The 27,846-nt window shown below is 39.5% G+C and overlaps 1 long non-coding RNA gene and 1 pseudogene across 6 annotated transcripts in view, besides 1 other annotated feature; one reads left to right on the top strand and one right to left on the bottom strand.

Moving 5' to 3' along the window:
• LINC01094 (long intergenic non-protein coding RNA 1094) overlaps positions 1-22,230 on the bottom strand; it is a 38,508-nt gene extending 16,278 nt beyond the window's left edge. For 2 of the 6 annotated variants that reach the window (NR_038303.1, NR_038304.1), the window contains exons 1-3: positions 21,961-22,230; positions 18,515-18,623; positions 5,213-5,306 (exon numbers count right to left, since the gene is read on the bottom strand). This is a non-coding gene — a long non-coding RNA (long intergenic non-protein coding RNA 1094). The remainder of the gene's footprint in view (positions 1-5,212; positions 5,307-18,514; positions 18,624-21,960) is intronic. The other 4 variants (NR_038305.1, NR_038306.1, NR_038307.1 and 1 more) reach the window with 3 other exon arrangements.
• On the top strand, positions 18,973-19,240 carry HIGD1AP13 (HIG1 hypoxia inducible domain family member 1A pseudogene 13; annotated as a pseudogene).
• Positions 21,394-22,593: an enhancer, noted in NCBI's record as "MED14-independent group 3 enhancer chr4:79566785-79567984 (GRCh37/hg19 assembly coordinates)". NCBI's record gives its function as "activates an origin of replication core promoter dependent on BRD2, BRD4, P300/CBP and CDK7 cofactors, and independent of MED14, by STARR-seq in HCT116 cells {active_cell/tissue: HCT116}" and the evidence as "EXISTENCE:reporter gene assay evidence [ECO:0000049][PMID:35650434]".

The following is a 27,846-nucleotide window of genomic DNA, read 5'->3' as shown; positions in this document are numbered from 1 at the left end:
AATAAGTCAAGTGCAGTAATAAAGAGAAGCCCACCTACAACCTTTTACATCTATCTGTTCAGCAAAGCAGAGGACAGCAAAACATAGTTGTTTTATTTTGGCTTCCAGCCACATAGGAACTTTAGAAATTTGTTTGCAGATAAACTGTTTCAATGTTGGAGAGGAACTGTACTGCTCAGTAACTACTATGGGATGCAGATCCCCATTTCATGGAGAAAAAGCTGCAAGCAGCGTGCTCATTTGCTGTGCATATGGAAAAACATAGAATGCTCACCATTCACATGACTGCTAAAGCATTGAAAGTACTGATATTTCTGTACCCTCTATTCTCAGAGGGGGAAGTGGGTTTTCAGTTTTGAGCATTCGTTGATTTGCCTAGGTTCCTATGTTTGAAAGTTGTCTTCTGGGAAAGAAGTAATAATAAAAAAAATTTTTGTTTTAAAAAAAGACCAAGCTTTTCTTATCCATTGCTGCTTCAGGGTACTTTACTTTTATATCCTTCCCACATTGGCGTGAACTGTCTGAGAATGCAACCGTTTTGTTGTTGCTGCTGTTGTTGTTGTTATTGTTAATTTTTAAACAAATATTTTTGTAGAGATGGGGTCTCACTCTGTTGTCCAGGCTGGTCTCTAACTTCTGGCCTCAAGCAATCTTCCCACCTCGGCCTCCCAAATTGCTGGTATTACAGGTGTGAGTCATTGGGCCTGGCCTGCATCATTTTTTAGAAATAGAGAATGAGTGTGACAAGTATTCTATTCAGTTGCCCAATAATGTAGTCAGATCAGATACTTAATTGCAGCTAGAAAGTATTAAGTGGGTTCTTTTTTTTTTGGTCACAGGTCTTTTTTTTATATATAAATTTGATCTTAAGTAGAAGAAATAGTGAACTTCTCTGCTTTTTAAAGTTATAAATATATATGAATAAGAAAATACTGACAGAAATGAAAACAACCTCACATCCTGTACTTCCTGACATCCTCTTTTAATTTTGTAAAGTTTCCTGTCATTATTTTCCAGTGTATTTATTTTTAAGGAAGTGTCTTTAGCAAGAAGAAAGAGACAAGCACTGCTTCCCTTCCCCATATCCCTCCCTCTCTCCCTCTCTCTCTCTCTCACACACACTCAGACACTCACATACATACACACACACGCCCCTCAGAGATTTAGCAATTTTGCAGTATTATTATTCTACGATTCAGCAACCATGACCCATTTCTAGGTGGACACATAGATTTGGGAAGCAGTGGAGTGAAGCTTCAGCACCAAAGGGAAAGCAAGAGGTACTAGGTCCTAGATCTCTACATTTATTCATGGTGAAGGTGTGATGAAATAAACATGTCGTAATATCATTAGTTATTGTTGTTAAGCTACCATTCATTGAGCTATTGCTAGGTATTATGTGCTAAATACTAAGTGTGCTGTCCTAAGTCCTAAGTACTTTACATGCACACACAGACACACACACACACACACACACACATACATTGCAGGTTTGTAATATGCCCACAATTTTTTAAATCAGCTTTGTTTCTTTTTCTTTTTCTTTTTTTAGAGACAAGGTCTCGCTCTGTTGCCCAGGCTGGAGTACAGTGGCACAATCATATCACTGCAGCCTCCACCTCCTGGGCTCAAGCAATCCTCCTGCCTTAGCCTCCTGAGTATCTGGGACTACAGACATGCACCACTGCACCTGGCTCCATGATTCTTAATATCAGAATTTCTTCTGTGGGTTAAGCCTGTGTTTTTGGTGGTCATGACCCATTAGTAAATTATGAAATTAATTTAATGAGTAGAGATAAATTCAATTCTATAACATCTTTGTGAGGTGCATTATATTAACCTCATCTGACAGATGAGGAACATCAGAGCTTGGAAGGTTAAGTAACTCACCCAAATTCACAGACCTTGTTAAATGTAAGATTGCATTTGGAGTCTTTCTGTCTCCAAAACCTTAACTACTAAAGCTATACTGTACCATTTAACATATCTCACAGTAATTCTGGGCATATCACACCACAACTATAACTACATATAGAAGAAAACCTACCTTCTAATATATCTTATAAAAGAGAAAATAGGGTTTGTAAATTAGCAACCAGCCTGTATTGTATTGAATATAGGCTTAAAAGTCTAATATGTATGTGCATATGTATGCATGTGTGTGTGTGTGTGTGCATGTGTGTGCGTATCAATTAGAGGGTGGGGAAAAACATTTATAGAACTCAGTACCATTAACAAAAACATTAAAATTCATTGGCATTCAAAATTCATGAAGGCCCTAGTCAATTTTTGGCTGTTATAGCAGAATACCAGAGATGGGTAATTTATTAAAAAAAGAAATTTATTCTGTTCATGGTTCTGAACGCCAGGAAGGCTGAGAGCATAGTACTGGCATCTGGCAGGAGTCATTCCATGGCAAAAGGATGGATGGCAGAAAGGGGCAGATGAAGCAGAAAGAAAAAGGGGGCCAGGCTCACCACAATTAACCCATTCCCATGATAACAACATTAGTCCATTCATGAGGACAAAGCCCTCATGACCTAATCACTTCTTAAAGGCCCCACCTCTTAATATTGTTACAATGGCAATTAAGTTTCCAACACATGAACTTTGGGAGACATGTTCTAACCATGGGGATGACTGACTTCTTAGGCAAGAGTTTCTTACTTTAAAAAAATGCATAATAATAATATTTTGTGTTTACACAATGCTTTCCAGTTTATACAGGGCTTTTCTAGATATCATGTGACTTTCAAACATGCTATGGACTTTATATGTGAGGCCTTCACATGGTACAGGCTGTAAAAGTGGTTCTAGCTGATAACAAGTAGTTATCAACAAGAAAGCTAACACATTTTTACCACAATCCATGTTATAAAAATGATTCTTATAGACAATCTGCCATTCCCAGCTCTTAAAGAAGTAGCATAGCTGCCAAATGAATAACCAAATAGATATATTTAATGGGCTCTAAAAAGTCAAACATAAAACCAATTAATGAATTGGCTCTGGGACTCAAATAGCTTTTGCAGGAAACATCTTTACTTTCAGAAATAATTATAATGGTGTTTCTTAAACACTTTTGCCATTTCAGAAAGATCCCCTGAAATTACTAGGAACACATCAGGTGTCAGCATTCATATATTCTCACTCACTCTTCATTTTTTTAGGGGAAACAATGTATCCAAATTGACACAGACAGAACTTCTTTTAGTTGGTGTTGGCTGTCATTTTATTCAGGTTTAAGTATGAGTCTAATTACCCTCAAAGGACTTTTTGACAAGTTTATCACACGACCACCAGAATTTCTGCTGTGGGTGAAGGAAGTGTTTTTGGTGGTCACAACAACTATCCATGACATCAATTTAGTGAGTACAGACAAACACTTTTTAAAAATGAAATAGAACAGAATATGTAATATCAGAATGTGTCACTGGTAGTAAAGGTAAGTGTGTTTCATAGAACTTTTCCTGCAGTGTTGTGTTAGTCCCTTCTTGCATTGCTACTCTAAACCCCGAAAATCTGAGACAGGTCTCAGTTAATTTAGAAAGTTTATTTTGCCAAGGTTGAAGATGAGCCTGCGGCACAGCCTCAGGGAGTCCTGATGACATGTGGCCAAGGTGGCTGGGGCACAGCTGAGTTTTATACATTTTAGGGAGACATGAAGCATCAATCAGTATATGTAAGAAGTACATTGGTTGGGTCTGGAAAGGCGCGACAACTTGAAGCAAAGGCAGGAAGCCTTGAAGCCGAAGCAGAGAGGGGGCTTCCAGGTCACAGATAGGCGAGAGACAAATGAATGGTTTCATTCTTTTGAGTTTCTGATTAGCCTTTCCAAAGGAGGCAATCAGATATACATCTATCTCAGTGAGCAGAGGGATGACTTTGAATAGAATGGGAGGCAGGTTTGCTCTAAGCAGTTCCCAGCTTGACTTTTCCATTTAGCTTAGTGATTTGGGGGCCCCAAGGTTTATTTTCCTTTCACATTATAAAGAAATACCTGAGACTGGATAATTCATAAAGAAAAGAGGTTCACAGCTCTGCAGGCTTTGCAGGAAGCAATGATGCTAGCATCAGCTTGACTTCTGGGAAGTCCTCAGGAAGCTTATGATCATGGCAGAAGGCAAAAGGAAAGCAGGAAAGCAGGCATGTCACATAGTCAGAGCAGAAGCAAGGAGAGGGGGAAGGTGCCACACACTTTCAAATGACCAGATGTCTAGAGAACTCACTATTGTGAAGACAGCACCAAGCCATGAGGGATCCAAACACCCTCCCACCAAGCCCCACCTCTAGCACTGGGGATTACAATTCAACATAAGAGTTGGGCAGGGACAAATATCCAGACTATATCAAGTGCCTATGTGTATATTCTGTGTATACTGAGTGAGGATACTTAATGTGGGTTATGGTTTTAAAAAGCTTTGGAAACCACCATGTTAAGGCATTATCACCAAAGGAATTTTAGTGAAAATATAGTTTTTGGGTGGATGTTTCAGAGCACACAAGACTTTTTGTTATATGGAGTGGGGCACAGTGGAGAGAATTGCTGAGGGGTGAGGGATGTTGATGTCGAAAGTACAAAGGAGGGCAAATGAGCAAAACTCCACCTAATCCAGTTATACCTAGTGGTGGTCCTAGTCTTTGGTCATGGCTATGGCTAATAAGATTTAAGATATACCTGTGGGTAGCACTGGCAGAAAGAAAGGCAAAAGGGAGAGGGACAGAGAGAAGAGGAAAAGAAAGCAAGAGGGAAAGGTCAGAGTGTTGACAGTGTGAGTTGGAACAAAGATTGGGATTTATGTGTGAAAAAGAGGAAAAGGAGAGATAAGAGCAAAACTAAGAGACGTGCAAGATGAGGATTGGCAGATAGAATAACTTTCAGCTTTCAGCTGCCAGTAACGTAAGCTCAACTACAATGGCTCAAACAATAAATAAATGTATTGATTGGTTCACTGGCTTGGTTATGTCACAAGGATCCACAGTGTTGTCCTCAGTTGCTCTCCCCTTGTGAATATATGATGGCTATAGGATGGCTAAAGCAGGGCTGTGGGTCTGGGATGACTGGAAGAGCAACTGGGATTATGTGCTTCCTTATCCCATTCAAGGAGCAAAAGGCTGGATTCCTGTGGATCTCTGAATGACAAGGGATAATTTTCCAGAATACCCAGCACTCTTCTGCATACATCTCATTGGCCAGACTTGAATCACATACCCATTTCTGAATCTATTACTGACAGATGGATGGCATTACTTAGACCATTCGGATGCCTTTCTGGAGCTGGCATCAATCTTTCCCAGGCACATGACTAGAAGAGAGGAAAGCAAAATTGAGGTTCATTAGGAACACAGGAGATGATTTTTTGCTGAGTAGGCAATCAACAAAGTTCACTGCACACAAGAATTTTTAAAAACTTTGGTAATATATCCTAGTGGCTATAGTAGATTTGATATGGAAAATTTCCATCACTAAAACAGTTTCATTTTTAGAGTCCTATTATGTCATGTTCCTTCTCATAGAAGAATACCTTTGAAGGTATTTAAATAAACTTAAAGAAATCAAGTACAGAGAGTTTCTATTTTCTGTATATTTTACCACCAAAAGAAATCTCAATTTCTACCCCAAAATAATATGCTGTATTCACTCCCTAGAGACAATGCACAATGATTGACCTCCGTTGGAACACACATCATAATACAGAAGCACTAGCCATTGTGTAGAGCTTTACTTCTCTGCCTGATTCCCTCCCCCACTCAGAAGTTATACTTCAGCATTATCCTCCTATGTCCTAGCCAACTTTCTGCATCATGACACAAAGACACTGATGGTTAGGATCATTCTAGCCCGAAGATAGCAAGGGCAAAGCCAGCCAGGCTTAGATGAAACTCACACTGTTTGCTGAATGGCCACGGTGTTTTGAGGTTTCTCTTTATGAAAGGCTAGCATAAAGTCAACAGCCCACAGTTGCTCAAATCTGTGCTTTAGTTTCATTGCCACCACCAAACACTTCTCCACCCAGGAGAATTACAGCTAAGTGTTGTTTTAACTACATCCCCAGGGGAGTATTGAGTAAGACAAAAAGCATGCTAGGTCAACAACAGATCTTTTCTGTAAAAAGGAACATTTCAGGAAAATTAAACAAAGTGTAGAAAAGCCTTAGCTTGCAATCTGTTGTTGCAAAGTTCAAACAATGGCTTTCCTCCCTACTTAGGCAAACACCAAGCAGGAAGCTCTGAACAGAAAAAAAAAAAAAAAAAGACCGTCCAGAGCCATAGAAGAGAATAGCTCATGATGACAGTCATTGTTACTTCATTCCTATTTAGACACAATTAAGGCCATTAGTTCTTTAATTCCGATTCATCTGATTATTTTCAGAAGTTCTAGAGTGAGGACCTTACAATCCTAGAAATCCTACCTGATGAACTCTTAAAAATTGAAGCATAGCTTTTCAGTTATTTCAAAGCTCAGCTAAATCCCCAAATAGTTTGACTCGCCTTCCCTTGTTCCCTGGCAACAATGTGCAGGTAAATTGCTCTACCTGGGATCTCTACTGATGGTAGGGCCTATGGGAAAACAAGATTCATAGCTTGCTCACTGGTGTTTGCAAATATCTTCTGGAGTTTGAAAACTATACTTTTCCTATGTGGACCTTGTGATTTTCTGTTTGGAAAATTTTGTTATTGTCCTCCTCCTTTTCTTTTCCTCTGCTGCATAATTTCAACATTCAGTTTTCCGTTAATCGATGTCATAGTGCCATCCCACAACAATGTCGGCTGAGCTCACTGCTGGCTGCCTTCATAGTGACCAGCTGAAAATATTATAGGACTTTTCCCCATGAGCCCACACTGAACAAAAGCACCTTGCCACTTTTTTCTGTTTTAATATTTGTCTACCCCAAGAGGAGCTGGGCAGAATTCAAAAAATATTTGTCATCTGGGAACAGAAATAAACAAACAGGTCATATGAGAGGTCTTATTTTTTCAGATGCTCTACTGATTATCTCACTTTGTTGACTGATTAATGCCATTCCCCTTGAATAAGTCATTTATATTATCTCAGTTTCTATTCTTATGCTTCCTAAAGTTGACATTGCTAGGATGAGTAAATTCTTATAATAGGTGGGGATTTAGTGAGCACTGATATATTTGACTAAAAAATTTCTTTTATAAAGTGTTTTAAAAATAATTTAAAATTTCAAAAGCTCCTTAGGACATTACCTAGCATTTTAAGGAAAGCCTAGGACACTGATTTTCATTCCCTTCGGAGTTCTTCCAGCTTTAAAATTCTATGAATTTATGAATAGAATAGTTCCCCCTTATCCTTGAAGGATACGTTCCAAGACTTAGTAGATGCCTGAAACTGTGCATAGTACTGAACCCTAGACTGTCTATACTATGTTTTTTCAATCTGATAATCTAGATGGTTGCATCTACAGTGCAGATAACTGGACCAAAAGATGATTCACCTTTGGAAGGGACTGAGCGGAATGCTGTGAGATTTCATCACACTACTCAGAATGGTGCACAATTTAAAACTTATGAGTTGTTAATTTCCAAAATTTTCCCTTAAACATCTTCAGATCGTGGTTGACTGCAGGTAGCTGAAATTATGGAAAGCAAAACCACGGATAAGGGGGGAACTACTGTATATACTTCCTAAGTCTCAGTATGAGATTCTGAATTTGTTTTACAAAGGTTAAATAAATCAGTTAAATATTGACTAGGTAATGCAAATCTATGCAAAAAGCAAAATAATAGTATAATTCTGTGATTATGTAATAATACCTTACACACAATAGGTACTAAAAAACTATTTCTTGATTCTTACCAACTTTCACATTTTCGCATACCAGTTTTCTAACTGTGGAAACTCTATGCAGTAGGATTTTCAAATAGGTGAGTCATTTTATAGCAATATATTTTATAGCTTATACAACTGTAATATGTTTGGAAGGAAATTTATTCCTTTAGTAGGACGAGATCTGTCATTCCTATCATCCTTCACAGGGTCTTCTTGTTTCACTTTATGTGTGTATGGCATTATAAAGGCTTACTGGAGTGCTATTTTTTTCTTCCATTACACAGAAGTCAGATATTAGAAGTGCAAAATCCATAATATTCCTTCCCAGGAATATCCCAAACCAGACAAATAAACAGAAAACCAAAACGCTTTTGCCTTGTTTGACCTTAAGTAATGCTAGTGGGGTTCAACATCTTCTCTAAGGTTCAGGCCCTTGTCTAGTTGGATACAGACCAGGTAATGTCCTCTTTGCTCCAATAAGAGAAAAAGGCATGCTTATTCCTCCTGGTTTTACCACCATTCTCTGTATCTTTCTTAACAATCCCTGCCAATTTGCCCTGTCAATCACCTTCTAAAGCTTGCTGCCTGGTTCACATTTGTGACTCCTGACTTCCAGTAACCTACTGAGTCTACCAGGTACATTCAGACTGGTCTCCCCCTGGACACCCATCATCATCATCACAGTAATAATACCTCCCACCTATTACTATGTGCCAGGTAGGCAGCATGCATAATGTGCACTATCTCAATTAAACCTTACAACAACCCTATGAGGCTAATACTGTTATTCATTGCTTCAGGTTACTAAGAAAGCACATAGCAAATAAGTGGTAGAGGCAGGACTTGAACCCAGGAAGTCTCCCAAATACTATTCTCCATCTCCTCTCAACTCTTGCTCAAATGGAGAACTGAATAGGAGCCACTTGGGTAACAGCCAAGCTCCCTAACCATATGGCATTGTTCCCATCTGTGGAAGGGCATAGGTCCAGCTGCATAGAATGATGTTGCCTTCTGACAGTCTTCTCTTAACTATCTTAGTGGCAAGAGGCTTTATTCATTTTCTTTGTACTCAAAATTAGCTTTTACTTTTTATCCACACACAACGCCACAGATAGCCCAGATTGAATTCATTATGGGCTATCATGTCCCCTGTCATTTGTTTATAAGAAGAGCTCTGGCCTGGCCTTAGCAACTTTTAGGTGAAGCCATCTTAAAAAAAGTCAAGAGCCACAGAAATAGAGTTCCAAAAATGACAAACATTGCAAGCATTCATTTTATACCCACACAATCTTTATTTTCCAATTTCTGTTAGTTGAAAACAAGAACAGTAAGAGAGCTCAGAAGAGAGTGGATCTTTAGAAATACTTCCAACTATCTATAGCCAAAAGCCAAACATACTCCTACATCCTTATTTCATGCAAACTAGATAATATAAAAAAGACTTGGAAAATGCTTTATAGCTGTGTGTAAGCTAAAAAAGCTACATAATCACACACAAATGAATGGGAGATATGAGTAGCAAATACAGGGCCTATGTTCTTTACCATAGAAATCGAAAGGATAAAAGACTAAAGTGTGGATTCAATTAAGAACTTAGTGGTGCCTTTTAAGAGGTGGCATTTTCCAGTATGTATCTCAGGCAGTCTAAAGAGTGATACCACAGAGCAAATGAAAGTCTCTAAGGGGAACTATTCTGTCTTGTGGTGAAAGTCAAGGCAAGGTGAGAGATAGAAGTAGATTTGTGGGCCAGGTGCAGTGGCTCACGCCTGTAATCCCAGCACTCTGGGAGGCCAAGGCGGGCAGATCACCTGAGGTCAGGAGTTCGAGACCAGCCTGGCCAACATGGTGAAACCACGTCTCTACTAAAAATACAGGAATTAGCTGGGCATGGTGGCAGGCACCTGTAATCCCAGCTACTCGGGAGGCTGAGGCAGGATAATCACTTGAACCCAGGAGGCGGAGGTTGCAGTGAGCCGAGATGGTGCCATTGCACTCTAGCCTGGGGTACAAGAGCAAGATTTCATCTCAAAAAAAAAAAAAAAAAAAAAAGTAGATTTATGGTTGCCAGGGTTCAGGTCAGAAATATTGTAAAGTAAGAGGGACCTTCTCACTTGATGAGAGCAAAAGTCTTAGCTTGGTAGGAAAGGAACTATCTAGCTCCTGTCTGAGTGACAGAAACAGGAAGGAAGAGTGAGCAATACCCCTCTCTGTATTGCATTTGGCCTGTTAGGAAACCACGAGATGGGGCATATGATAAACCCAGTCTGCTCCTGTCTCAGTGTTCTCCTCTGGAATCTTGAACCACACAGGAGTTTTCTCAAATGAGCAGACTGTCTGATTCTGGAAACTGATCACCCACCCAAGTACGAGGTTCCAGATGGCAGGGATCTGGTCTGTTTTGTACACAGCTGTATTGTGAGGACCTGGGACATAGTAGGTTCTCAGTGAATATTTATTGAATGAACATTCAAATGCACACGCCACAGAGCCCAATAATTTGAGAGTAGCCCAGAAATATTTGGGACTTGTTTTGCGCTTCACCTAAACAATGATGGCAAAACAAGAAAAAGGAGGAGGAGAAGGAGGAGGATGAGAAGGAGGAAGAGGTCATTGGTCATCTGCTGAGTTATTTTGTTCATATCCAGTTTGTGTTTGTGGCTTCCTTGCAGAAAAGATGCCAGAAGATTGTAAAGGAATAATTGTGTGTTTCTGTGTATGTGTGTGCATGACTATTCTTATTGATGTATGTATATCAAATCATGTTGCTATATCTATGTCTGTGGATGACTTTAATTAACCTTTTTTCAACCCTGCTGAAATGAAAGACTTTTCTAATTCTCCTGATTTAGAAGTAGTTATTTAGAATTATAAGAAGTATGATTAGCTCACAAACGAAAGAGCCCATCTTTGCTAATAATAGTGCTAATAAGAGAAAGGTAATCTGGTAAGGCCAATCCTCTACTCCAGAAATCTCAGGACATCTAAAATTGGGAGTTGGTGGCCATGTAAACAAATTCAAATTACCTTCCAGCAAAAACCTCAAACTACTTGTTTGAGATGGTTTTGGCTGGAAGACGTGAATCCAGATCAAAATCAAAAGCCACAGAAATACTGAAATAGTTGAAACAGAGACACAGTCATTACAGGAAGCTTATGAAGGTTCAAAGGAGGTTAAAAAAAGAAAAAGAAAGAAAAGGAAGAGCTGCAGCAAGAAACGTTTGTGGCATTCATTGCCCATCCCTACTGGAAATGTTGACGATATCCTTTGAAGAGGAAGAGGAAGGAGTTCGAGGTGCAAAACAGGCAGCCTAGACAGTGACAAAACAGGAAACAGGAGTGCTGATGAAACTGAACTGTGAATTGGGAAGACAGCAACGCATTAAAGCCACAGGGCTGTGAAAGACACTCGAAAAGGACAATGTAAAAGTGGCGAGGGACTCAGAATGAACTATGGATTAAATAAGCATTGACAAATAGATAACGAAGTCTAAATTTTCTTATTGAAATGACCTAAAAACAAACTTAGTCATATTATTATCATTCTAGGAGTATTCTATTGTACTAGAATTGCATTGAATCAAATACTGTTTGAAATAAATGGATAAATTTATTTCTGTTGCTAACATATAGAGATATCTCATAATGGTGTTGGTTAATAGTAATAGGTAACAATTAACACAATGCCCACAATACTTTATAGGTAACATCATTTAATCCTGACAAATATTTTTTTGCTTGTTTTTTTGAGACAGGGTCTCCCTTTGTCACCCAGGCTGGAGTGCAGTAACCTGATCATGGCTCACTGCAGCCTTGATTTTCCAGGCTCAAGAGATCCTCCTGCTTCAGCCTCCTGAGTAGCTCGGACTACATGCATGCCCCACCACACTTGCCTAGTTTTTTTTTTTTATTTTTAGTAGAAACAGGGTCCCACTATGTTGCCCAGACTGGTCTCTAACTCCTGAGCTCAAGTGATCCTCCCGAAGTGCTGGAATTACAGGCATGAACCACTGCATCTGGCCAAAAAATCTTAAAAGGTATATGATATTAACACTTTCAATTTATAGATGAAGTCTCTGAGGTTGTATGATTTGTTAAGGCTCAAGTTACGGGCCAATGTAGAATAGTTTATGACAATAGCTTCCCAGTCTTGACTCCAGAGCCTGGGTTCTCTGTGCCATTTGATCAATACATGACATGACATTCTACTGAGCACACCTCTGGCTCATTTCCATTTCCATTTGCTCTGTTTACCAGAATTGTTGCTATGTCCCTTTGCCAACCTTTGAAGAGAGAGGTAATGGGCAGCAAAATGCCCAGAATTAAGGAACAACCCAAGGAAGATGAAAGAATCCGAGATAATAAGGCCCAACGTCAAGTCAGTTATTACAGATTGTAAAATTCAAGTCCCTCATTAGAGTGAGTAAATTTTTGACCTCTAATTAAAAGTCTTGCTAAAAGAATTTTAGCAGGTTAGTGACAAAATCCTTGGACTAAGAAGAGAATGACCAGTAAGTTATTTTATGTACACTTATTTAATAATATAGCATTACTTTTTGAAGATTACTGTGTTAAGAGTCTAATGTAACAGCCTTATTATAACTTAGAATATTGATTTGAACATCAGCATAAAATAAGGCACCCCTGAATTTTTCCCAACCAAGAAAAATGTCCTTGTACTGTGGCCACAGGACGTGTATCTTTCCCTCCCTCCCTCCCTCCCTCCGTTCCTTCCTTCCTTCCCGTCTTTCTTTTCTTTTCTTTCTTTCTTTTTTTTTTTTTGGAATCTTTCTCTGTCACCCAGGCTGGAGTGCAGTGGCATGATCTTGGCTCACTGCAACCTCCGCCTCCTGGGTTCCAGCAATTCTCGTGACTCAGCCTCCCAAGTAGCTGGGATTACAGGCGCCCACCAATATGCCCAGCTAATTTTTGTATTTTTAGTAGAGACAGGGTTTCACTATGTTGCCCAGGCTGGTCTTGAACTCCTGGCCCCAGGTGATCCATCCACCTCAGCCTTCCAGAGTGCCGAGATAACAGGCGTGAGCCACCGCGCTCGGCCAGCATGTGTATCTTTCTAACGTAACTTACACTCTTGACACAGTAATCTTCAAAAAGACTGTCAGTTCTTTTGGCATTATTATTGCTATTTGACATTACTGTTATTATTCATATAATAACAATAACTTGGTGTGGTTAAGTTCTTTGTCTAAGGTCACATAACATAGTAGATATTTCAAATTTCTCCAAAATATTTCACCCAAAATTCATACTGTTTTCCAGTAAGGTCCAAATTGGATTAAATTTAAGTTTATGTCACTTTAATGCAGTTGTTTTTAAAGAAATAAAAACTTTGCATCAGAATCCAGAGCATATGTTTCTCATTTGGCTGCCATTCCTGCTTTGTGGCATGCAGAGTTCACTTCCCCAATCAGGACAGTTTTGGATGGCTGCTGCTCTTTCATAACCCAGCTGGTTTGTAATCCTCGTTAGGTTAGGGAATGAGCCCCTCAGACACTATTGCTCAGAATTCTTTAAAGTCTTAAGGCAGATTCTCTCTGGGTGCAGTAGCTGACACCCATGATGTGCTCTAACACTTGGGACAGTGGGGTGGAAGGATCACTTGAGCCCAGGAGTTTGAGACCAGCCTGGGAAACATAATCAGACCCCATCTCTAAAAAATAAAGAATAAAAAATTAGCTGGGCATAGTGGTATGCACCAGTAATTCCTGGGGGTCAGGGGTCAGGGGCTGAGGCTGAGGCAGGAAGATCTCTTTAGCCCACGAAGTCAAGTCTGCAGTGAGCTACAATCACACTGGTGCACTCTATCTAGCCTAGATGACAGAGTAAGACCCTGTCACACACACAAAAGGCAAACTCTAAATGAACAGAAAGACCTACATATACTTATATGGATGAAGGCAACACAGAACACCAAGAGGCTTCCACTCAGAGCACAATCATGTTGTTGGGAATTTGAGGGCAGATGTAGAAAGATACACATGCTGTGACCACAGTGCAAGGACACTTTTCTTTGTTGGTAAAAATTCAGGGATGCCTTATTTTATGCTGACGCTCAAATCAATATGCTTACTGGTAAATGCTCCTGGGCTAAGGCTGTTAGAAGATGGAACGCTGCTGTTAGCTTGCTTCCATACAGAATGGATTTCTAGACTTCCATAATTTTATTTGATTTGGATTAATGGGGCTTGAATATATTCATGTGATAAAACAACTGAAAATCATGTTGCTCTTTGTAGGATAAAATGAAATATAAATAGATTGTTAAAAAAATCCAGTTTATAATTTTGTTTTGAATCATATACTATTGTATACTATTATAGGAGAATGATAATATTCTTAAAACCAAAGGAATATGTAAAAGGTATGGAGAAAAATGTGTAATTGAGAACATTCTATCCATTAACATCTTTTTTCTGTAATATTTTGTGTGGAAAAGATAGCTAGTTGCCTAACCTTGATTCTTATCCCAGCAGAATAGCTCTCAAGACAAAAACTACATTTCCTAGTCACCCCTGTGGCTAACTGTGGCCACGTGACTAATCTCTGTCAAAGATATGAAAGCATAATTCCTAGATAAAACGTTTAGAAGGGCTACTTAACACAATTTTACTCAGCTGGGGGTGATACTTTCTGCATCTCCTTCTTATTTTGGCTTGCAATGCAGGTGTGATAACTGGAGCTTCAGCAGCCCAGAGATGACCTTAATAATAAAAGCCATGTGTTAAGATAATAGAGAAAAGAGCCTGGGGGTCCCAGATGATATTATGGAGTGGCCATAGCTAGATAGTTTCTCTTCCAACTCCTTTTATCTGAGAAAAGAAACCCCCAAATTCCAGCTTGCTTTAGGCTTTGGTAGTTTGCTTTTTTTTTTTTTTTAAATGTGCAGCAAAACCTAATCCTGATATATTAGCAATAAAATCCTCTACTCCCAGTCCTAGCATTGAATTTCAGAACCCAAACACCTAAAACTACTGATAATCAGTATAAGAGTATAATTTGAGAACCATGAGTTTGGTTCTTGTCTGTGGATTTTCACTGAAAAAATTATAAAAATAATTATTGAAACTAACTTCTATTTTTATCGTTGTAAGTCTTGCTTTCACTGAAAAAAAGAAAAGAATAGGTAAGTGGCACTGGATCTCATTTGCATTTTCTTTCTCTGTCTCTGTCTGTCTCTCTCTCTGTCTCTCTCTGCCTCTCTCTCTCTCTGCCTCTCTCCCCAAGTAATATTCAGCAATGATGTAAGTTTTGTTCTGGTCAAAGTATTTATTTACTTATTTTTCGCATATCTATCTAACACTTTAAGTTCATTAAGTATACCCACATAATTATCTCTTATGATTCTCATAATAGATCCATGAAGTAGGCAAGACAAACATATTTCCATTTCTACCAAAGTGGAAACTGGGTTTTCATCCTCATTACATCAATTTGAGGCAGATGGGACTATTATCTCTAACATACATAAAGCAGAATCATGAAATGATCACATCATTTCACCCAGTGCCTTGAATACAAGCTGGCATTCAATACATACTTGCTGGATGCCTGGTTGAGTGCCTGGGTAAGTGAGTGAATAAGGAAAATGATGCAGGGAAATTAAAGGAGGTATCAGAGTCACAACATTGGAATTAAAATGAGGGGTTTTCACTTCTATTCTAGTTCTTTTTTCATTAATTATACCGTGTTGCCTCTCCCTAGAAATTCATTCTTCAATTTGCTGAGTTGTCCATTTGAGTGTACTGTGAGTGGAAGGCAGTTTTCAGATGGTCATCAATGGTGAACTTCAGCTGATGTCCCAGCACAACATTGTACACACCACAAAACAGTTTGCTTCCACTGGCAGCTCTCCCAATCCTCACATATTAATGCTTTGCCAACAGCTATTGTCTTTGACAAGTGACTGTGCTGGCAACATAGCATTTCCTTAAACAAAGCCCTTCACATGGATAGCCAGCAAGGAGTCCCATTTCTAGCTTTGCCTGATACCCTCACACAGCTAGAGTATTTGTTTTACTTGGGAAAATGTTCCAGGAGGCTCTGTGCTTGTGGTAATTGTTGTGGTTTAACAACAGTTTAAAGATTTGAACTAGGAAACATAACAGCCCCAGTGGATCCTAACATTTAGAACATTTTCTTTCTTCTGAAGGAGCTAAGAAATAAACAAGAGCCAGAAAAATCTGAAATTATCACCCTGGGTTATTCTAAGATGTGTGTCTGAAGTGAATTTACATTTTTTTTTTTTTTTGGCAGACAACTGAGACAAATATTAAATGATTTCTCCTAAGTCACCTAATTTGTCAAGCTATTAGCTATAAAGTCTAAGTCAGGGTGTTCAAGGCTTCCCTGGGCCACATTGGAAGAAAAATTGTCTTGGGCCACACATAAAATACACTAACACCAATGATAGCTGATGAGCTTAAAAAAAATCGCAAAACAATCTCATAATGTTTAAGAAAGTTTACAGATTTGTTCTAGGCCATATTCAAAGATGTCCTGGACCACATGCAGTCTGTGGGCCGTGGGTTGGACAAGCTTGGTCTAGGTCCTATACTACTCAGTTAGCTAGTGGATGGAATTCTAAGCCTGCCATTTGCTGGCTGTGCAAAATTGGAGAAATTAATATTTCTCTCTGAACCTCAGTTTGATTTTTTTTTGTTTTTTGAGACAAGGTCTTGCTCTGTCACCCAGGCTGGAGTGCTGTGGCACAATCATGACTCACTGCAGCCTTGATTTCTTAGGCTCAAGTGATCCTCCCAGATCAGCGTCTTGAGTAGCTGAGATTACAGGTGTGTGTCACCATGCCCAGATAAATTTTTAATTTTTTGTAGAGAGAGAGTCTTGCTGTGTTGCCTATGCTGGTCTCAAAATCCTGGGCTCAAGCCGTCCTCTTGCCTTGGCCTCCCAAAGTGCTGAGATTACCAGCATGAGTCATTTCACCAGGCCCGAACCTCAATTTGTATATATTCATAGCTGGAATAATGTTTCTTGACTCAAAAGTTGTCAAAAGTTTAAATGAGATGTAAGGGGTTTAGAAATTTAGAAGTCACTCGATTCCATGTTAGTTTCTTTCCTTCCCCCACTAAATCTATTTCTAGAACCCCTTGCCATATTTTGTGACCAAGGAGAAGCACTGAGAAATCCAAAATAAGCTTTATCAAAGCATTCTAATTTGCTTTAGTATAGACAAGTTTAAAATTTCCCATAACATGTATAATTCACAAAAATACCTAAGAGGATCTAGAAAACAATTGGCCTGGTTTACTTCACCTGTGATAATTCTGGTTCTTTGGTGTATTATACTTTTGGCCAGGATTCTGTAATAGGACTCAGAAAATTGAGTGAAAACATCTTGGTGCCAATGACTTTCTCACAATCTGGACCCAAAAGTCCTTACCTATCTATGCCTTTTCATAGCATGCCCATACTTTATTCAGCAAGTGTATTTGAAGCACCAAGTATGTGCCAGGCACTATCTAGGTGCTAAGTATACAGCAATGATCAAAATAGATAAAAGAACTGTCTGTCAGTAGGGGCAGACAGACAATAAACCAAATAAGTGAGGTCTGTTGGTGAGTGATAAGCATGATGGAGAAAAATAAGGTAGAAAGAGAGACATGGAGTGTTGGGGGCAGGAGTTTGCAATTAAACATGGTAGGAAAGTCGCATGAGAAGATGAACAAGTAAAGACATAAAGGAGGTAGGAAATGAGCTCTGCAGAAATCTGGAAGAGCAGAAAGCATGGGAAGTACATAGACCCTGAGGCAGGAAAGTGCCTGGCATATTTATAGAACAGTAAGAAGGCCAGTGTGGCTGCAGCAGAGACAAACAAAGGAGAAAATAGCAGGACATGAAGTGAGATGGGTAAGGAGATGGGGAGGGGGCAGATTGTGTATGGCCATTATAAGGACTTTGTATTTTACTCTGAGTGAAATGGAAGTATTTGGTAGGTTTGAGAAATGACATGATCTGACCTATGTTTTAAAAGAACTATTTCAACCGCTGGGTTGTGAAATAGGCTGAAAAGCAGTGAGATCAGCAAGGAGATGGTTGCAGTATCCAGTGAGACATGATGCAAATATTTGCTGATGGATGGGATGTGGGGTGTGAGAGACAGAGATAAATCAAAAAGGACTCCAAGTTTTTTGGCATGAGAAAGTAAAAAGATGGCGTTGCCTTCAACTTATGTGCACAAGACTACAGGAAAAACAGGTTTGGAGGCAGATCAGCAGTCTGGTATTGGACATACACATTTGAGATGATTATTAGTCATCCAAAGAGAGATGTCATGTAGGAAATTAGATATCAAGTCAAGACACACGGGAGAAATCTGGGCTGGAGATATGAAAATGTGAGTGTTGTCAACCTATACATGGTATTGAAAGAAAAGAAGACAGATATTTATGTGCATAGAGACAGGCAAGTGGGTAAGAGGTGGTGGAGGGAGCTTGTGGAAGGTCTCTACTGCATGCTTCAATTTTCCCAGTGGAATGAGAAGCCAGGTTATCCATAGGGAGTTTCTAGTTAAGGGACAGGAGGAATGGCACACGCCTAGCTGTAGAGTAAGAGTGATTCCCAGTAATAACTGCCAGACTACTAGTCTTTATCTGGCCTAAGTTTCCCAGACTCTGGAAGTCTAGGGCTCATTCTGTCAGTGTCTCTCTTTGGTCCACCATCCCAGGCTTCAGTTTTTCTCACCTGTATCTTTGTGGTAGGGTAAACATACAACGTGGCTCTTTCCTAAACAGGGACTTTAGTATCCTGGCTCAGAGAACCTGCTCTTCCAAGTCATTTGAATGTAGCGTGCCTGGAAAGAAGAAGAAGGAACCATAGAGTTCAACAGCTTCAAACCTTGCTCCATGTTTTTTTACGTGAATCCTAGGGAAACAATTTTATTTGTGGTAAAAGATTTATATGTACAGATGTCCATAAGTGTTATTTATAATTTAAAAATGTGGAAACACTCTAAGCATCCCAAGAAGGGGAACTTTTAAATAAATTGTCATACACCTGTAAGATAAAATATTATATAAGCATTAAAAGCAATGTTTACAACAATGCTTAATAACATGGCAAATGACTATAATATGTTAGATAAAAAATTAATATAGAGGTCAGTTGGATTGTGAGAGATTTTCTCACTCTAGGAAGATTCTTCAATCACTATGTCAACAGACACAGATGTTTCCCTTTCTTCCTATGATAAAGATCAAGGATCCAAACTTGTTCGAAAAGTTGAAGAGCCACCATTTGTTCTCACTGGAATGGCAGGCTTTCCAGCAATTGTTCCATAAGGATTATACAAATGGAAGAGCAGAGGAAATGCTAAAAGGTCCCTTCTCCTGATCCACATGTGTTGTAGAAGCAATGACTGTTGGTATGGGCTGTTCTGTGTATTAGGAATTCTGGGCAAAGCCTAAGCCTTGGAAGGAGGATGCTGTCTTGATCTTGTAAGAGGACCTTACTTTAGTTAGACATCTCATTATTGAGGTTACATGTTTATGTTGGAAATAAATTATTTGAGTGGGTTCAGACGATAACACGGTATTTTGAATACTGGCTTCCTTTCTTGCATGCTTGATTTGCCTGGTGACCAAATTACTAGTGACTAGTTCACTAACTAGGTCATTCAGGGAAGTCAAGTTAACACAAAGGAAACATGTCACCTAATTCCACTTGATGATGTTAAAACTTTAAAACCACCTTCTTAGACTGTAAAGATTAAATTAGGACCGGGTGTGGTGGCTCATTCCTGTAATCCCAGCACTTTGAGAGGCCAAGGCGGGTGGATCACTAGAGGCCAGGAGTTTGAGACCAGCCTGGCCAACATAGCAAAACCCTGTCTCTACCAAAAATACATACACACACACACACACACACACACACACACACACACACACACACACAATTAGCTGAGGGTGGTGACACATGCCTGTAATCCCAGCTCCTTGGGAGACTGAGCCATGAGAATCACCGGAACCTGGGAGGCGGAGGTTGCAGTTACTGTACTCCAGCCTGGGTGATAGAGGGAGACAGAAAAGAAAGATGAAAGAAGGGAAGAAAGAAAGAAAGAAAGAAAGAGAGAGAGAGAGGGAGGGAGGGAGGGAGGAAGGAAGGAAGGAAGGAAGGAAGGAAGGAAGGAAGGGAGAAAGAAAGAAGAAAAAAGAAAAGAAACAGAAAAGAAAAGAAAGGAAAAGAAAAGAAAAGAAAAGAAAGAAGAAATTAGTTCTAAAGAAGATAGCTGGCGATCCCTGAAGTATTCCCAGTTTGCTGAAGAATTTCACATGCTTTGTATGTTATATAGGAGTCTTATCTGCCCTGGTTAATCTAACTTTTCTTCTTCCTGTCTTGTGAACTGGCTGTCTCTATTAGAACTTTTCTGAAACGTGCATGGAATACATTAACAACTTGTAACGCCTCTCACAACTCTTAAGTGTATGTATGTGTGTCTAAACCGAATCAAGAAAGCTTACAATAGAGCTTCATAGTAACAGTATTTATTTCAGAATCATAATTGTAAACATGAGAATAACTTAATTATGAACTCCAGTTTAGCTCTTTTATAAGTGCAGAATTATATTTTAGCTGCTGTTATATTAGAATAATTTTTAAATGTCATCCTATTTTAAGCACTCATGCTAAGGTAAGTGAAGAACACTTTTCAAATTTTCTCCAGAAGAATCATAAACAAGAAACTAAACAAATTACCTATAATGAAAGTGACTAATGAGCAAGCGGGTTTGGCCAGATACTATACACAAACTTTGATAAAAGGCAAAATGCTTAATTTATATATATATATTTTTAGATGGGGTCTTGCTCTGTCACCCAGGCTCTAGAGTGCAGTGGCATGATCACAGCTCGCTGAAGCCTTAACTTCCCAGACTCAAGCAATCTTACCACATCAGCCTCCAGAGTAGCTGGGACTACAGGTGCACACCACCACGCCCAGCTAATTAGAATGCTTTATTACACTTGTGAAATTTTCTTGTCTAACCTGAATTTACATTCTATAGTGATAACATAGCATATGTATTGTTATTAAAGTGACTATGTAAAAAAATTAATATAAAACTGTATATACAATATGATTCCAATTTTTTACTTTCATATGTGCAGAGAACACAGAATGAAAAGAAATAGTCCTAATAATTATTTGTCAGTGGTCGACTTGGGTTTTTTTCTATGTTATATAGCTCTGTGTTTTCTAAATATTCAGTCAGAAGCAGATATTTTTCTTATCATTACATGTTTAAATTATGGTGGAGAATTTTCAGCAAATATTAAAATAAGGAACTCCTTGGGAGGCCGAGGCGGGCGGATCATGAGGTCAGGAGTTTGAGACCAGCCTGGCCAATATGGTGAAACCCCGTCTCTACTAAAAATACAAAAATTAGCCAGGCGTAGTGGTGGGTGCCTGTAGTCCCAGCTACTTGAGAGGCTGAGGCGGGAGAACTGCTTGAACCCAATAGGCGGAGGCTGCAGTGAGCCGAGATCGCGCCACTGCACTCCAGCCTGGGCGACAGAGCGAGACTCCATCTCAAAAAGAAAAAAAAAAGGAACTCCTGAGTTATCCCCAGTCCTCCTTGGGTCACTCTGTCCAGCTTCTGATTCCTCTGCTTATTTTAGCTGCAGGCTTTATGAGATCTCCCTAGTATTTGGTACCTCATTCCTGGACTAAGTGGTCAAACGTGTGTAATGGGGCAAAAGGCCTTAGGATGTTGAATAATCGCTGAGCAGGTGGTAAACCTGTGACACTGATGTGATGGATGTAGGAGTGGTCTCCTTGCAGCCCTGGAGCCTTTCATCAGAGTAGGATTTCACCCATCTGAGCTGGCAACAAGCCCTGTTATTCCCAGGACATCTAGAATTCATCAATCGTGCCTGGATTGTTTATTCACTTCACTCATGCTCCTGAATTCTTTGTAGCAGAGTCATTTCCTGTTTAATTCTCTCCAAAGTTTCCCCCTTTGGCCCAGGACTGAAAATTATCTGTTCTACAGTGCATAAAATATTTTTCACAAAGGTAAGCCGTTAGTTATGTATTAGTCTGTTCTGGAAAAAAAAAGTCAAAATAGTTGAGACCTACAGTTAGTCCATGTGATCTGGAAGTGACCAATAGTCATCACAGGGGGTGCACTTACCTAAATCGAATCCGTGTGTATCATTTTCTGCGTTGGTAAGTAGATCCACGTTTTCCTTTGGGAGGCTCACTTTAATATCCTTCTGCTTCTTTAAGATTGGGAAACCACCCAGGCCTCCCAGCTCTTGGCAAGCAACACTCTGACTTCATGTTGTTACTCAGCATTTTGTTCCTTATTGAAATGCCTGGCTCTGCACAACTGGTTTGTAAAGTCTGAAGATCCCCTGGCCATGCCCAGAAACAGCAGCCTCAGGAAGACAGAACTGAAAAGAACACACAGTGAGAACGAGAAGGGCTTTACAGCTCCGGTCAGCCTGACTCAAACCTGTGTTAATAGCCCAGACTCTTGTTGCTCCATCCAGACCTTCCTCTCTCTTCTAGTCACAATCCTACACACCCTTCTAGTAGGAACTCAAAAGCCACCTCACTCAGCCTAAAGTAATCTATCCCTCTTCTGTGTTTCTTATAATACTTTTATTTACTTTGTCTTACAAATTTTCCTTGTATCATACTTACTTATGTATGTATGTCTTCCTACGAGGTTGTAAGTGTTCAGGAAAATTAGAATGATCCAGTTTAGCTTGTACACTTCTCCTTGAGCACAATGCCTTGTACTTATTAAATAAAAATGCTTGAATTGCATGGAATTGAATCAAAATCTAAGAAAATAATCTGCTTTAGAATAGATCTGAGAATGCTGAGTAATGCACAACTCCTGCCTTCTTTGGGGGGACCTGAAACCTTAGGGGGACTTCAATTACTTCTGGATTTGGTATAGCTTCAGCAAAGGCAAGATTTCCCAGGGTTGCTATGGCCTACAGGAATATCAGCCTCCATTGGTCTTAGTGTCTGGCTTTAAATGGTAATGGAATCACACTGATTTTTTATGTTCGTATAGTAACATCATAAAGATACTGAAAATACTGGCAGTATGAAAGGAGAAAAGCAAATTCATTTCTTTTTTGAAAGATAAATCTCATTCATAAGGGATTAAACTTTTATTGTAGATAAGGTGAAATTTGGTAAGTTAAAATGAGAAGAATTTCAAAATGCTTTGTTGGGTGAAAAAAACCTTCTAAAGTAGTATGTTTATTATGATTCTTTTTTTGGTAAAAACAAATTTAAAAAGATAACTTCTATATAAAGTATATGTATACACGCCTGGGGAAAGCATTTGGAAAATTATACAGGCATTAATTTCTCCTACAGTTAAAGTGTCCCTAACAAAAATTGGACATAGCACAATTAGCTGCTTATTGAACATAATTTAATGAATCACTGTTAGTAATAACCAGAACTGACTGGGAACTGGGAAATGATAAAAAGCTGCTGCTTCCCCTGGCTGTAATGGACTGTACTGCAGGCAGACCTGCATGGCAACAGTGATGAGGCATTAGACGGTGCTGAATACGTGGCGGAAAGTGTAAGGAAGTTTGTGTTTCCTTTTGTAGGTTTTGATCTACCTTTTTAAAATTAAAGCTAGCAATAACCAAATACATTTATGGTTATGAAAACAAATTTATTGTTAAAATTACTATTTTTAAAATTCTGTTCTACTGTGAGTTTTAACATTTCTGTTCCCATTAAAACATTTTTTTTTAAAAAAGTTAGTTTTAAATTGCAATTTGGCTTAATTTTAATAGGAGATACACTTTTAAAGGACAAAATCTAAAAGGCACATGCTAGTATTTCTAAATGAGAAATTTTTGTTCCATCCCTATTCCCCAGCCATCCTTCTCCAATTTCAACCAGTGTTACCTGTTTCTTTACATTCTTTTGATAAGTTGAGATTTCTTAGAAATGCACCTATTTTGCAACAGTAGAATAGGCTATATACTAAAATACTAACTGTAGTTATTTTCAAACAACAGGATAATAGGAAATATTTATCTCTTTATAGTTTTCTGGATTATTTTTTTCCCCAGTAAGTAAAAGAATTAAAGATAATTTCTAAAACCATTTTGTTGGACTCTGTGTGACAGCATGCCTAAATATTACATTGTCATCACTTTTTAATTATTCCATTTCTCTGCTTCTGGTCTTTAGTCTTGGTTAACAGTATGGCAATGCAAAAAAAAATTTCCTTTTACCTACTTTCTCTTCCTTCCTCTTCCTCAGTCCATACCTCATGAAAAAAGTAAAATTGCATCAAAGTCATATTCTGAAAAGAAATTTCTTATTAAAATTTTCACTGGGGTTTCTGAATATAATTTGACTCATTCTAATTAAATCAGATTAATTAATACCTGCTATGCTTGGTTCACTAAAGATGTTTTAAGTAACAGCAATAATAATAGCAAATTCTTAGGACACATTTATCTTGCTGGGTTAGGTAGGAAAAGATTATATTTATTTTTTAAATGATTAATGAAATAAAGAAAAGCTTGGAGATTGGAGGTGGGATAATGGTAATTGTCCATATTTACATTTTGAAAATACATATTTTTGAGCTACTTTCACTATGCCTGGAATTAACAATTTTGCTAGACCTTTTCCAGATGTGAGAATTTGATCAATAGCACCATTTATCCATAACTACAATGTATCTGCCTTGGAGTAGACCACCTCGGGCCCAGGAAAACATCAGCTCTGGCCTTGTGGCTATGCCACCTGCAAATACAACCCCAAATTTTCCTTACTGGGTGTTCTCTTCTGTATCCTCTCTCCCTTCCCTTGTTATTTATCTCATTTTTCCTTCTTTCAGGAGGCCAATGTAAGCCTAGAGTGGTAGAGTGGAATGAGCATGGATACAGGACTTTGGGAGCCAGGATTCGTATCTAGTTCTCTGCTAAACTAGGTGTCTTAGGCAAATCACCTCAGTATTCTGGTTTCCTTCTCTTCCTTCTTTCCACAAATATTTGCAGAGCTCCTACCCAGTGCTAAAGACTATTCTAGGTGCTAAGATGTAAAGATGAACAAGACATGACCACTGCACTTAGAGACTGTGTACTTTGTCTCTCCAGCTGTCCCTGAGAAAGCTGCATCTCAAGACAGCAGCTTAAGTGAGTTTGTGGTTCTGCCCACCTGCTGTCTGGCCAGTGAGGAAGTGTGTCTAATGTGGGCACCTACTGGGCTCCTCAGTGGCAAAAGAGGAGCCTAGAGATGGAAGACATGGAGTATAGTAGGGACACAAGGCTCTGTTAGATGGTGTCAGGGAGCAAAAGGTGGCAGCAGTGACAGCAGCAATTTGGCTCTATGCCCTTGGACAATGCAGGGTGTGGCTAGGGCTGCTGTGGTCAGAAGGAAAAGCAACTGTGCTTTTCTGGGTAGAACATCAAGTGAAGACAGTTAGCCGAGGTAGCATGATTTGTTACGATTGACTGTCAGAAAGAGTCACAAGAATGCAGGCTTACCTTGAGCCTTGGGTTAGAAAGATAATGAGTTTGGAAGTCAAGGAGAGGCCAGTGAATTTGATGCAAATCATTTCATGAAATTAAACCCCTTATTCTATGGGACTCTTCTTTCTCTTCCTGGGACTTGGCATTCTTTATGTCTTGACATTTATTGGATGAATGTATGAATGGAAAATCTTCACAGAACTTAAATGTACATTGAGAACACATCACATCCTTGGTGGAAAACTGGGAGGCTGGTAATCAAGAGCTGAACATTTTATTTCATGAAATAATATCACATAAAATGCTATAATTGAGTGAATGGTCTCGTCAACAATTTTACTCATAGAGAGGGCTCACTGCAAGGCCAGATGGAGTAAAGTGGAGAAGGGGAGAAGGCTAGTCCTGTCCCCATGCATCTCAGGGATTCTCTGAGCAAATGACTTCTCCTATAAGCATGAAAACCTAGGAGGGAGATTTTTATTGCCAGCTCACGAAGGGTGCCGGGTGGGGACAGAAAGAGGACAAGGCTTGGAGGAAATGATTAGAGAGTGAAATTTCATTTTCACATTTTGCTGCTTATTTTTGGCCAAGACAAACACTTTCTGAGACTCAGCTTCCTTTTCTGTAAAATGTCACCTCCCATCCCCTTTTCTGAATTTCTTCCTATTAGAGGTGGGGTCCCTAGGACCCTGGGCAGTGGACTGTTACTGGTCTGTGGCCTGTTAGGAACCGGGCCACACAGCAGGAGGTGAGCAGCAAGCGAGTGAGCATTACCGCCTGAGCTCTGCCTCCCATCAGATCAGCAGTGGCATTAGATTCTCACAGGAGCATGAACCGTATTGTGAACTGCTCATGCAAGGGATCTAGGTTGTGTGCTCCTTATGAGAATGTAACTAGTACCTGATGATCAGAGGTGGAAATGTTTCATTGCAAAACCGTAACCCCATCCTCACCCCCAACCTGTCTGTGGAAAAATTCTCTTCTAGGAAACTGGTCCCTAGTGCCAAAAAGATTGGGGACCATTGCTAATTAGAAAATTTACTTGCATTAGAAACTTTCTTGGACTGATACATTCGTCTTTGAAAACACAAATATGCCCTGCTAGTCCCAGTTTTTTAGTCAAGAGAAACAAAGCATTTTCCCATTCAAACTGGAATCATCTGATGCTGCAGGTTACTGGAGACAGGCAGAGGAGCTTCTAAGTTGGGCTGCACTGGATTGACAGGTATTGAGAGTAAAGATTCAGGAAGAAACTGATGGGCATGTCTGATCATACAGGTTGTCCGTGCAGATGACAACAAAGGGAAACTGTTAAGGGCTTGCTTGGGCACTATCAGAAGAAATCCAAGCGATTATATGGGGAGAGAGAGCAGGTCGCCTGATGGTGCTAGGAATCCAGACCTAACAGAGAACAAAGTCAGGGCGAAAGAAAAACTGAGGAAAGAAAGACCCCTGGTCAAAAGAAGGCCAGACAGACAAATGTTAACATCCTGGCTCGGCTGTTCCTGTGCAATCCTCATTTTTTATGTCTGTAAAATAGTGATTATATGCAACTAAAAGCATTGTTGGGAGGATTAAAATGAGAAGATATGTGTTGATTCTTAGCATGAAGTTATAATAACACTCAATAAATTATAGACACTATTTTATATTATTAGGACTCTTGTATGAAGGACAGGTAAGTTCATGGTTGAAAGTGAAGAAGATGAGAGAGGAATGAAAGAGGAGCTGGGCTGGGGTCTGAGGTGATGGCTGGGTTTTCTGCCAGGAGGTATGTCACATCAACAGACAATGCAGATTTTTAATAGGCCATCGTAGGGGCTGTGGCATCTGAACTGGCCACAAATGATCCCACTGGCTGGGATCCAGTGGAAAGTGTAGTACTGCAGGTAAGTCCCAGGAGTCTGGTTTATAGGGCTCTACTGTATCCTCAGGACAAAAAGGAAAGGGAGAGAGGCAAGATATGCCAGGTCCTGATGACAAGGTCCAGATGTGACTAATTTGCCCAGAAACATGGGGGCAGAAAATTGAGTAAGTAAAAAAAAGATTGAGTGAGTGATAAATGGTTTCTTAGAAATGCAGCTCTTTGCCCCCTAACTGTTTAACCCCTGCCATTAGACACCAGAGAGTTTCAGATTCTTAGAATGTGTGATATACATTCTTTTGTTTTCCCCAAATAGAAATAACTAATAGAAAATGATAAGGCCAGGAGCAGTGGTTCATGCCTGCAATCCTAGCACCTTGGGAAGCCAGGATGGGGGTATTGCTTGAAGCCAGGAGTTTGAGACCAGCCTGGGCAACATAGCAAGACCCCAATCTCAGCAAAAAATAAAAAATTAGCTGGATGTAGTGGGCATGTGCCTGTAGTTCCAGCTACTCTGGTGGCTGAGGTGGGAGGATTGCCTGAGCTCAGGAGTTTGAGGCTGCAGTGAGCCATGATTGTGCCTCTGCACTCCAGCCTTGGTGACACAGTAAGACTCCATCTCTAGAAAAATTAATTAAGTAATTAATTAATCAAATTAAAATTTAAAAGGATAAAACTAATACAT

The sequence above is a fragment of the Homo sapiens genome, chromosome 4 (genome assembly GCF_000001405.40).
Source record: "Homo sapiens chromosome 4, GRCh38.p14 Primary Assembly".
In the NCBI taxonomy this organism is placed as follows: Eukaryota; Metazoa; Chordata; class Mammalia; order Primates; family Hominidae; genus Homo; species Homo sapiens.
The sequence above is the reverse complement of the archived record's forward strand: the minus strand, read 5'-3'. Positions and strand labels throughout refer to the sequence as shown.